General features: G+C 35.0%; 1 long non-coding RNA gene across 1 annotated transcript in view; it reads left to right on the top strand.

The window, feature by feature from the left end:
* Nucleotides 1-8602, top strand: part of LINC02424 (long intergenic non-protein coding RNA 2424) — a 33067-nt gene extending 24465 nt beyond the window's left edge. Inside the window, exon 2 of the long non-coding RNA NR_135021.1 lies at nucleotides 7906-8602. This is a non-coding gene — a long non-coding RNA (long intergenic non-protein coding RNA 2424). The remainder of the gene's footprint in view (nucleotides 1-7905) is intronic.
* The last annotated feature ends 3972 nt before the right edge of the window (nucleotides 8603-12574 follow it).

The following is a 12574-nucleotide window of genomic DNA, read 5'->3' as shown; positions in this document are numbered from 1 at the left end:
CTTGCGAGCAGGGCAGGTTATGCTTAACTGATACCAATTTACATGTTCCATTTAATCTTCTCTTGTCTTGTGCTAAAAAGTATAGTTCAGGATTTCTAGGGCTTTGATGTAGAGAAATAGCAATAAAACACATTTATTGAGCACTGTTAAGACAATGATACTCTGCTATGCATCACCTCCTTCGGTTTTTCACAACTGTTTGAGGTAGGTATATATTACCATTCTAGTGATGATGTAGAAAGTGAGGCACAAATAAATAAGTCAGATGACACACAGGCATATATTCTAGAGCCAGAATTTTTAATCCTGTCTGATCCCAAACATCATGAGCTTAGTTATTACAAAGATTGCTCTTTAAACTTAGAAAAGCTTGAGACTATTAATACAATTTCCAACTATTATGTAAGAGAGCAGTTCCAGAAGAATTGCATCGTAGATAAGTGGGATTTTTACCAAGTGCTTCAAAAAATAGTATTGAAATATCTTATTAATATTTGATATTTTAACTATTTTATTGTCAATTTTTGTCCATTCTTAGCTAATAGGCTCCATGTTCTATATACAGTCAAAACTATTGTTAGAACAACTCCATATTATCACCTACCACATATTAAAGTCTAACTTCTGCCACTACATTTCTACATATAAGGAGACCAAGAATGAAGCCATGAGAATTTATATCCTTATATACCTTCTTAAAGCATTGCAATTACAGATATATCTATATCCCCTGATGTGAAAGCAAACATGAGTAAGCAATCCATTTCTTCTAATTATTTCATATAATGCTTGAGAAATTATATTTGTTGCTATGAAGACAAACCACAATCTCGCTCCTCTTTTCCATGGCCAGAATTTCTCTTAATTGCCTTTAATCTAAATATCATTTAAAAAAAAAAAAACCCACCCGTTACTATTCAATCAGACTGCTATGATTTTCAGGAGGAAGGCAGGGGCTAGCCATCAAAGGCATTGACAATTACCAGGGGAAAAATACACAGATCACTAAAAACAGAAGCAACAGAAGAGATTGCACTGGGCAGCCACCTCTTTCCTATATATTCTATTTGATTGGCATTCTTCTATGAAAAGTAAAATCTAACTTTTTGAGAAAAGGACAAAAGTTGCAAGAGCTTTGATTTTAAAGACTCAGATTTTAGGAAATACAAATAACATTTTATTGGGAAAAAAACTATATTTTATTGACATAAAACCCTGGGATTGATAGTGAGATCAAAGATAGGGCGGGAGAATGTAAATGCAAAGTGGATGTCACTGATGCTGAAATTTGTGTATTCGGAGCAGGATGATGCATATGAGCCAAAGAAGAGGGTCTTCAAAAGCAAGCAGAAATAACTCAAAGCCACCCTGATGGCTTCCTCAATGTCCAACCAGTTGCTTCTCCCCACGGGGAGTTATGCTGGTAAAGCAGCAACCACACGTTCATTTGAGTCAGGTAGTGTGACTGCTGTAACAAATTATAAACTTGGTTGCACCTAAGGCCACTTCAAACAACAGAAATTTGCTATCTCAGCTGTGGAGGCCTGAAGTTTGAAATCAAGGTATAGGCAGCACTCTGCTCCCTCCAGAGGCTCTAGATGAGATTCTCTTCCTTGCCTTTTCCAGTTTCTGGTGGCAGTGGGCATTCCTGGGCTTGTGGCTGCTTCATCCCAGTGTCTGCTTATATGATCATATCATATCATATCGTATGATCATATCACCTTCTACTTTTTGTCTGTCTCAAAGCTCCCTCTATCTTTCTCTTATATAGACACTTGTAATTGGATTTAGAGCTCACCTAGATAATCCAGGGTGATCTCATCTCAAAACTCCTAACTTAATCACATCTGCAAAGACCCTTTTACCAAATAAGATAACATTAATAGGTTCTAGAGATTTGACATGGACATATGTTCTGGGGAACCACCATTCAACCAATGATAACATGATTGCATATTCCTTACAAATAATAGTCTTTGAAGAAGTGAAACTCTCTTTTTCTGGTGATGATTCTACGTCCCTCAAATTAGTCTGAGCTCATTCTTCCCTTAACGCAAGCATGGGAAAGAAAGGGGAGGAGTAGAAAGGAATCCAGCTGTATTTTTAAAAGACTGGACCTTTACTGCACCCCACCTCAAATAAAATACTGGCTCTTTGAAAACAATGGTATAAGGATACATACTTAATACAATGGTAATATCAACAGAAATATATGAAAAAAAATTCCATCACCAAAAGCTATCTCCTTACAAGAAGCTGGATATTTAGAGAAACAGTACCCTCTTTCAGGTCATCAGGGATCTACTGAGTGTTTATAATAAATGGTCCCAAGTTTGAGCAACCTAGAAGAAAATTGTACAGTCAAGGACCTTGAGGAAATCATATACTTGAACATCTGGCTTGATGTGCTATTGAAATGTTTTGTCTATCTTTCTGCAATGGGCATACTGTATCATCAACAGGAATATTAGAAGCTTAGTCAGTTTCCCAATAATAGAAGTGAAGAACTAACTTTTGGTGACCAAACAGTTGTTTCTCTATTCTTATCTAACACAATACTTCTCATTTGCTTTCCTAAACCATATGGGTAATGACTTTAGGTGTTACAAATACTAATTACAATTAGACTCACAAATTGAGTGTTTAAAAATCAAATTATAAATTATGAAATAAAAGTTATGTTTCTTGGTAAACTGATAGTAGATAAATGGGCATAAGAACTCCAAGATTTTAACTCTTGTAATCTACAGTATACCTAGGAGGAAGTAGAAAAACATCAAATAAAAATAGTGACAAGACAAAAACACCTAAGGCCCACTTCAAAACCATACTGAATATCTTGAACCTTATTTTTTTCATCACCCATGTATGTATGCACGGAGACAAGTAATCAGCAATAAAAAAAAGGCACACAGTAAAATTTTGTTCCAGTTTATTTATTTAGTTTTTTTTAATCTACAGTTGCCTTTCCTTTTAATTCAGGATTAATATCATCACAGAGGACCTTCTTTATTTTGTATTCACTCCATAACCTTCATCTGTATGCCTCTTTAAAGACAAAACTAACTTTCAAAAGCAATTTGCTTCACTGGAGGGAATAATATAGTGCATATTGATGTTTAAGATTTCCATCTTTAACTCTTAAGGGGTTAACAATTCAAAGACAACAACAAATACTCATCTCTTTCCTCCTACCTCCTCTCTCCCTTCTCTTGTCTCCTCTGCTCCCGCTTATCCACCCTCCTTTTCTCCTAACCCTTTGTGGTTCCTACCTCCCTGGCTCTCTGTTCTCTGCTTCCAAATGAGAACCCAGCTGTCAGCATTGTGCTGCAATGCGAGGGATGTCAAGGACGTTCTGCTAGGCAATGCACAGAACCATTGATCATTGTTTTTCTTCACTGTTTACAGAGAATCTCTTGGCAACAGAAGTGTCTTTGCCATGCAGAAAGAATTCAGAGTGCTGCAAGGTTTTGGCTTTTTGGAACAACACATTAAGGTTATTAAGTTTTGAATATTCAGCAGGTTAAAATTCCTGTTTTTCATTATTGCCTCCATAAAATAATATCTGTATTTACATCCAAAACAAAAATCCAGAGTCTCACTATAACAAATATAGGGAAGAAAATTTTTCTCCTCACAGTTGTATATATAGAAGCAACACAGTGACAAAACAAAACACTCAGGCATAACAATCTTAGTTTGATAACTGTACTTTGGAGACCAAAAAAAAAAAAAAAAAAAAGTAAAGAACACTCAAATTACCATTCGTGAAATAGCCATGAATTTTAGCATATGGCATCAACCACAGAAGCAATACAACTTGTTCTTTAAAAGCTCTGGATAAGCTTTTAAAGTTATGGATCAGCAACACAAACAAATTTAAACCTAGGAAGGCATCCTGTTGCCATGACAATATGGTACACTAGCTCCCTGCCATGATGAGTCCCAGGCTTCGGGAATATGATCACACCCTTGCAATTCAGGGTTCTTTGATAACAATATGCTGCTTTTAAATCTTATTAACATGTTACTTAGATATTTGTTTTTAGCTTTAAGTAATAGATATAATATCATAGTAAATAACCTGACAAAAAGTATTAAATATATTTATTTCAAAATATGTTATTATCTGATGTTAGTAATAACTGTGAACTTGCAACCAAGATGTTTAGATTAGAGAGATAAAGGCTATTGTTCAAAATGAAAAAAGTATCATTTGTAGGAATCACTCATTTTCAGTGCTTCCATGGAAAAGTAAAGCAGATACTAATTCAAAAGCTTGGAAAAAATCATCGTGATATATTATTCATTACACGATGATGCCTGCAAACGTGCTTTAAAAACAAAATAAAGAAACAGAGGACAGGCCTTAACTTGTCACAAACTACATGAGCTAAAAAGAATCTCTTTTGAGGCACAAAACAAACAGGGTGAGAGGTTTCTTTCTGTCAAGGCAGATGGCAGCTTATTGTCACCAGTGTCTCACTTTCTTCCCATTTCCCAAGATTGTTCTTGCTTTCTCCTTTCCTTATTATATTGCAGCCGATAAGTAATGAAAGGCTACACTGAGTTACCATTAATTCATTCTCTCAGGAAACATGTAACAGGCCTTCTCTTAAAAAGGCAAGAGAAGAATAAGCTCAGCCTAGCAAGGAGAGCAAATATGAGAAAAATAGACATAATAAAATTCTTAAAGGCCGTAGTCCTGGAATATAAAGGATTCCTTAAAATCACAGATGATTATAGGCCTCAAACAGTCCCAAGGCACAATTTATGTTTGAGGTGAGCATCTTCCTAGGTAACGAGGGGTGAAAAGGAGAGGAAATATTTCAAGGACATGCACAAAGGCAGAGAATTTTGGAGTTCACTATCTATTTTGGGAAATCCCACCAGGCCTGCATGCCTAGAGTGAGGTGCATATGGGAAAGCAGCATGAAATCAGCTTGCCATAATATGAGGCTTGTACTTTGTCCTGCAAAGCACAGGAACCCATAAAAAATTACAGGCCATGGGAAAGGAAAGTCCAAAAATTGTAGAAAGATCACCCTAACAGAATGGGAGAGGATACATTGGATTGAGGTGAGATTGAACACAGGAAAGTTAAGAAGCTCCTATAATAGTTCAAGTGAGAGAGATCTGAACAAGGACTGTTTATGGAGAGATCTGGGGAATATTAGAGTGGTTCATTTAACAATCCTTGGTAATCTATTCAATGCAGAAAATAAAGAGGGAATATTTCTGGCATGAGTGATTAGGTGAATGCTGTTATAATTTTCCACAGTGAGGAATATGATTTAGTAGACAGGCATGGTGAAAATAGATTAGTGTATTACAGGAAAATTCCAACAAGTAAAACTATGAGGGAAAAAGAAGATTGAAAATCAAATGATAGTCACAGCTACATTGAAAAGATATACATAGAAAGAGGATACAAGAAAGGAGAAACAAAATAGATAGTTAGAAATTGGAAGGCTTTCTTTCAACAAAAGCATTTCAAGAGAGCCCTCCATATTGAAATGCATTTGAATAATGTTTCTAGTGTGATAAAGCTATCCATTAATATGAAAAAACTGTATATATTTAACAGTTCATCCTTGCACCATGTAGAAGCATCATTTGATATTTACCACAAAACTGTGTGCCTAGATTAGGTATTATTATCCCTCTTATTATTTATAAGAAGAGATTCTCATATCAGAGATCTCATATCTCTTCTTATAAATAAGAAGAAGGATAATATTTACCACAAATCTGTGTGCCTAGACTAGGTATTATTATCCCTCTTCTTATTTGTGGAAGAGAATGCTGAAGGTCAGAGAGGTTGGCTAACTCCCTCAAGGTTACACAGCTGGTAATCCAGGACTGCTGACTCTATTTTCTCAAGATATTTAAATATATTATCTAGTTATTCCTGAACCATATACAGGGATTTATTTTGTTGAAAGAAATGCAAAGTCATTCAGTCAATTAAAGCTATTTCACATCTTCTCTAGCTTAGGGATGATTTAAATATCTAAATAAATATTTTGGGATAACTGTCCTAGATATGACTAGAAGCTCATTTTTACCCTGAATTTGTGGAATTGAGATATGACAGTCATAAAGGGCAAAAGGAAGAGTAGAAAAAGTTTTCACAAACATATTGTGAACAAGATATTCTTACTCAAGTCAGAGAATCAATGTAATTTTTCCTCTCGAGTACTGCCAGACTCAAGGTGATATTACCCATTACCTGTTTCAGATATATAAACAGGATACTCAATTTTAGACTCACCAAGTAATATAGCAATCTCTTAAATGAGCCAAAGAATATGATCAAAAGAAAGGGTAAAATTGTTCCAAATATTTCCTTAAGATAATAAAAATCGCACGCATAAATTTCTTGCATAGATCCATAAAGGGTAAATGGCAAAACGCTTGGGAAACCTATCTGTTTTCAAAAAGCTTATATAAAAAATGATAAAAACATCAGATTGAGAACTGAAACCAAAGCCACATTTGCACAAATGTCTCTTAGAGTTGTGATAAATCCATCCAGAGCCACATAGAAATCAGCAGGTGTCATAAGAATCACTTCCATTTCAGTGTGGTCACGGAGAATATCTCACTCTTACTAATACTTTGCAATAACAAAAATTAGTATTTTAGAGCATAACTTGCATTCCATTAATAGGTTCTTTACAATTTAAAATTTTTAATTTTAGTTATGAAACTTCTTTGTGATAGGTAAATAGATATTGTTTCCACTATTTAAAAATGAAGAATGGTGGCTCAGAAAAATCAATATTTGCTGAGTTTTATCAGAAGAAAAAGGCAGAAAGCCAGAATGTGAATTTATGTGTTTTGACCCTAAATCTTTTATGTAAGATCACTATAATACTCTGTACTCCATTTCATAACTTTCAACTTTAATACTCTCATGATAAGGTCCAGGAAATAATCTTTTACAGGATAGCAAATATCAAATCATATTGAGATGTTAATTGTCTCACAGCAATTATGCTTTATTATGTGATTACTCATCTGATACATAAAAAGTTAATTTCTTTTTATTCTCTAAACATAAAATATGTTCACAAATAGCCAAGAGTGGGTCTGAGGTTGCTTTAAGCCCACTAGCATGTTACTACAGGACTCAGAGACTCTGCATTTTAATTACATGCCATGATTTCATAACTCAGTCCCATGGCAAATCATTATAATAAACACATCAAAAGAAGCCTCATCTCTTTATGCATAATGCCAGCATCAGATACAATGACCTTTCTCATATTTGCACATAAGTAATTTTATTTTTGCAAGGATAATGAATTCCTTTGCTTCTCAATTTATTCTTTGTTTTTGTGAAATATTAATCATCTGGTATTCAGAGTTCTTCTTTGAAGTCAAATTTTGAAGTTTCTTTGCTACATCCAAAAATATAAACACAGAATTCTCAGATAATAATTATAGATTGCCTAAGCTTCTTAACAGTATCTCAAGTAGTCCAGCTAGAACATGCCCGCGAACAGCGAAGAATATTCACTCTTCCCTATCCCTATCCCTAGGACATTCTTAAGTAGTGAAGCAGTTTTGAAAAGTGTTGGGCCTTTTTGGAGAGTCAAATGAATTTGTGCATAGGGTCTTCAATATAAGACTTGCAGAATGAGGTGAATATTTACATTATTGTTTAAATTAGATTTGGAATCTGTCTGTGAGGTGTGTATGTGTATGTGCTTCTGCCTTTTGTGAGATGTGTATGTGAATATGTTTCTGACAGTAAGTCACCCAGAATTGATGAGACTGAGTTTAAACACCATCAACAGGTATATTGCACAAATGGGTACTGATCCACATGCCATGATTATAATTATACTTATATAACTCTTATAATTACTGTTATTTTGTCTTTCAACAAATTTTAAGCACCTACTATGTGCCAGTCACTGTGCCAGGAGTTGGAAATATGAGGAAGACCGTAATTCTCATAATGAGAATACAAGGAAGACCATCTCTCAAGAAAGGAACATCATAAAACATGTTTACTGTCAAGTCCTTGTCATTATCAAAAATATCTCCAGATTGATGTCATTCTGAGAAAAGTGATTTCATACTGAAAAAAATTCTACAAAAATAGTAAAACTCTTCTTCTCAATTTTCAGAACTTGGATGGGGTTGGGGGCAGGTGCTTTCATCTATTTTCATCTTGTCCTGGTAGAAATTATTTGCTTGATTAACATTTTGGTGGAGAAGTTCAGTCTCTAAGGCTACAGATGAGAAGATCAGTTACTGGATGGGTTCCTAACTTCAATGTCAAATCCAAGAGCCTGAAAATAAAGGATGGAAAGAAAGGGAAACAAAGAAAAGTTATCAGACAATGTGAAGACATTTTATGGAGAGGAAGAAAGAGTGAGTGAGCACAGGAAAAATCACAAAGCAGTATATGAAGAAAAGAAAGAGATAACAGTTATTAGTAAGTAAAGAGATAATTAAGAGATAATCCTTTCAGTGGCATGAACACCATAGTTTGTGACATCACTGGTCATTAATGATTTGTGAGAAGCAGTGTCTCAACTATGTTTCTGTTACATTAATTATACCCAAAATAAAATATTTGCACACCTATTGTTCCACAGTTATTCCTATATTATTTCATGAAAAAGTTAATAATGAATAATTACTGAATACTTAGTAGGTCCATTCAACATGCTAAATGGTTTATTTACATTAACTATTTTTAATATGCAAACTCCATAAGATATATGCTACTATTAGGCCAATTTATAGATACCAAAATTGTATACCATAGGACTTAATCACATTTCTTTTCATCTGTCCTCCTTCTCCTCCCTCGATAGAAGCTTGACATTAGTCTGAAGTTAAGTTACAGACAGTTTGCTGCGTAATTTTGAGTAATTCTCTAAGCCTTCATTCTTCATCCACAAAATAGATAGGACAAAATAGAGTATACGACAGCATCGTTGTGAGGATTAAATGAAATAATTCACATAAAATCATTTTATTTATAGCTGAAACAACATAACACTCAATAAGTGAATTAAAAGAATTATCATTATTATTTTAGATGGCTGATTGGAAAACAATATTAAGCATCAGAATTTTTTTTTTTTTTTGAGACAGAGTCTCGCTTTGTTGCCCAGGCTAGAGTTCAGTGGTGCGATCTTGGCTCACTGCAACCTCCTCCTGCAGGGGTTCAAGCGATTCTCCTGCCTCAGCCTCCTGAGTAGCTGGGATTACAGGCACACACCACCATGCCCGGCTAATTTTTTCTTTGTATTTTTAGTAGAGATGGGGGTTTCACCATGTTAGTCAGGCTGGTCTCGAACTCCTGACCTCGTGATCCACCCGCCTCAGCCTCCCAAAGTGCTGGGAGGCATGAGCCACTGCGCCCAGCCTAAACATCAGAATCTTAAGAGTGCTACTCATGGTTAACTGGCAAATATTTTATAATACATCAGGGTAGATGCTGGCTTAAAAATGAAATGCTAGAGTTCCAGATCAGATTATGGATTTCTGAAAAAGCTTCTTTAAAAGCATCTCAAATATTAGCCCAGAGCAAATAGCACAGGATTTAATATAATTAAATAGACACCCATAAATACTGCAATGTTTGGCATCACTGTAAATGCCCATAGGCCTCTCTGCACTGCTGCATATGCTGCTCATGCCTGTGGGTTCTGAGAAGAGTTATAAGTGACACAGTAGCATCATACCTTCTGCTATAGTATAAGAGGCCAATATAATATTACATATATTAGATATATATATAATGGTTTTCATGTATGTATAAGTAATGAATTATTTTTGATATATTAAACAATCTCCCCCTTGTAAATTCCCTCTTTTCCCTCTGCTCAGCTTCTGCTCTTCCCTCACAAACTTCCTCCCCTACTTCATGTCACTGTGGTGTTCAGTACTCAGACAGTGGAAAGGAAAGCAACATGGAAGCCATTTAGCCTTTGATTTGTAAAAGCACAGAAGCCATTTACAGAAAGGGGGAGAATTTTAAGCATAAAGCAAACATTTGAGAGAGTAGGTTGAAGAGACTCGGGATGTTCCAGGATTAGGAATCACAAACAAAAAAATAGAGGACTGGTGGATCAGGGCTCACCTGGCCAGGTAGATAGAATAAGGCATGTTTTTTAACAGAGACCTGTGTCGACAAAACAACTAGTCAACTTAATGAGCGCCAGCACACTTAGGCAACATGGAAGATCACATGCCTTTCCTCTACAGAGGTAGTATATAAGCTCCCAGAATTTACCCAACAATCTAGTGAAGTCCCAAATTGTTAGTACATTTCTATCATGTGAATAGAATGAATGCTCAGATTACAAATTAAATTTGCATATAAAATACAATGTGATTTTCTCACACACCCATGTCAGGTTCATATCCACACATCCTAACTGACTGTATTATGCATGTGCATATTTCTGTGTGTGTGTGTGTGTGTGTGTGTGTGTGTAAAACACATATAAAGACATATCAGTGTGGCCATAAAGTTATGCATTTAATTTCTAGGAAATTCTACAGAGTAGATACTGCATAAAAATTTCCCCTGGGAACATATAAATGTCTCAAAGGCAGGAATTCTGTTTTATTCATTTTTATATTAGCAGAGCCTGGCACAGCTCCTGAACTGAATAAGTATTTATAATATCTGTTAAACTAGCAGTCAATGTGCATGTGTAAGAAAGCAGCATCATGAGAAAATGTACTTTGAAGGACATTAATTTGGAAACCATGAGTAAGACGCCTGGGTGGTTGAGCTAGGAGGCTATTGAAACGTCAAGGAAAGGGTATGAGGTTCTGAACTAGGATGGTAGCCTTGGGAACAGGAAGGAGGGCATGAATGAGATCACTAAGTGGTAATTGATGGATTGTGGCAACAGTTTTCTATTATAGAACTAGAGCCCTTGTGGGGTTAAGCCTAGAATGGTTTCTATCCCTTGGCCAAATGCTTAAGAGTATAAAGTAAATATTAGCTATCAGTGACAATAGGAACTTGTAGAAACAGCTTTTTAGAAAGAATGGTATTCAAGAAGCTCATCCATTAAAATTGATTGCATTTAAATAGTCTATCTAGTTAAAACACAAAATACAACCATTAAAACTTTGAAAATACCTTTTTTATGTTCAAAATCAGGTCATTAATATTGTTCTAAGTACTCATCTTTAAAACAGCAATAATAGTAAAGTCAGTTATTATCTATGTTCAGTGAACAATCATATGAGTAAACACATACATGATACAGCTTGCATTTTAAGAACGATTATATATATATTCATTTCAAGCTGGAATTGTAACAGTTGCCAGTTCCACACTTAAAGAAATAGGCCAGTAAGTGCAGACATGCTGAAATGCCTGGGGTCCTTACTATCTTTGAGCTTCAGTGAAACAGAATCTAAAAGGAGAAATAAAGAGATTCATGTCTTCATAGACAGATCAAGATGAAAAGTAAACATTTATCATTAGCTCCCCTTTGCCTTCTGCCATGAGTGGAAGTTTCCTGAGGCCCTCACCAGAAGCAGACACGGGTGCCATACTTCTGGTACAACCTGAAGAGCCGTGAGCTAAATAAACCTCTTTTCTTCACAAATAACCCAGTCTCAGGTATTCCTTCATGGCAACACAAACGGACTAAGACAAGAGACAATGTCACTATCCCTGTAAAAAAAAAAAAAAATTGGCAATGCCATTCTAAAAAGGTGATTATATGTATGTATAAGATTAAACAATCCTGATGAAGGCAAAAAATGATTTCTGATTGCTATTTAAAGCATATGTAATGAGTAGAGGAGTCACCCTCAGAATAAAGATTATTTAAACTATTCAAAATACAAAATGGGTGTAACTCCCTGTGTATCAGAAGTTCATAATGTAGATCATGCAACTGTTTTCCCCTTCATTGTTATCATGACTCAACACAAAAATTAAAGAGTTTTACTGATCAAGGTCCTGAACTTGGAAGGTCAAAGTTATTACTTTCTCCTAATTTATGCCAGCTTTTTCAATTCCTAGTATTGATATAGTAGACAATATTTGGTGATACCACATCAGTAAATTAATTTGTTCACTTATCAAGAATGGTACAGCTTTCTCACCTTTAACGATCTAAATTTCATACATGAGAATTTGCAGAAGTTTCTACTGAATAGAATCTTAGCACTTTTCCCTTAAAAGATTTCCAAGAGGAAAAAAAACTTCAGGAAATTTGTATTATATGAACCGAAGTATTAAATAAACAAATTATCTTCCTTTCTGAATTAATCTCAGATAAAGCAAAATGGCATTTGTGTTGTTTAAAGTGAGATCAGATTTCATAAAATGGAAGACATTCTACCCTGAGATAGAGTTTAGGGAGAATAATTGCTTGTCTGTGGAAACAGAAATTCTACCTGCAAGGAAATATAAACTATTTGAACTCTACATCAAAAGACTTCATAGAGATTTTAGTGTGGTTCTGAGAGCAGTTAAAAAGAGAAACTGCCTTTTTTATTCCTTTTAGATTTTGGTAATCAGAAACTAACTGCAACAAGAGATTATTTCATGTGGTCCATGAAATAATCA

The sequence above is a fragment of the Homo sapiens genome, chromosome 12 (genome assembly GCF_000001405.40).
Source record: "Homo sapiens chromosome 12, GRCh38.p14 Primary Assembly".
Classification (NCBI taxonomy): domain Eukaryota; kingdom Metazoa; phylum Chordata; class Mammalia; order Primates; family Hominidae; genus Homo; species Homo sapiens.
Note: the sequence above shows the minus strand (reverse complement) of the source record. Positions and strands in the feature narration are given on the sequence as shown.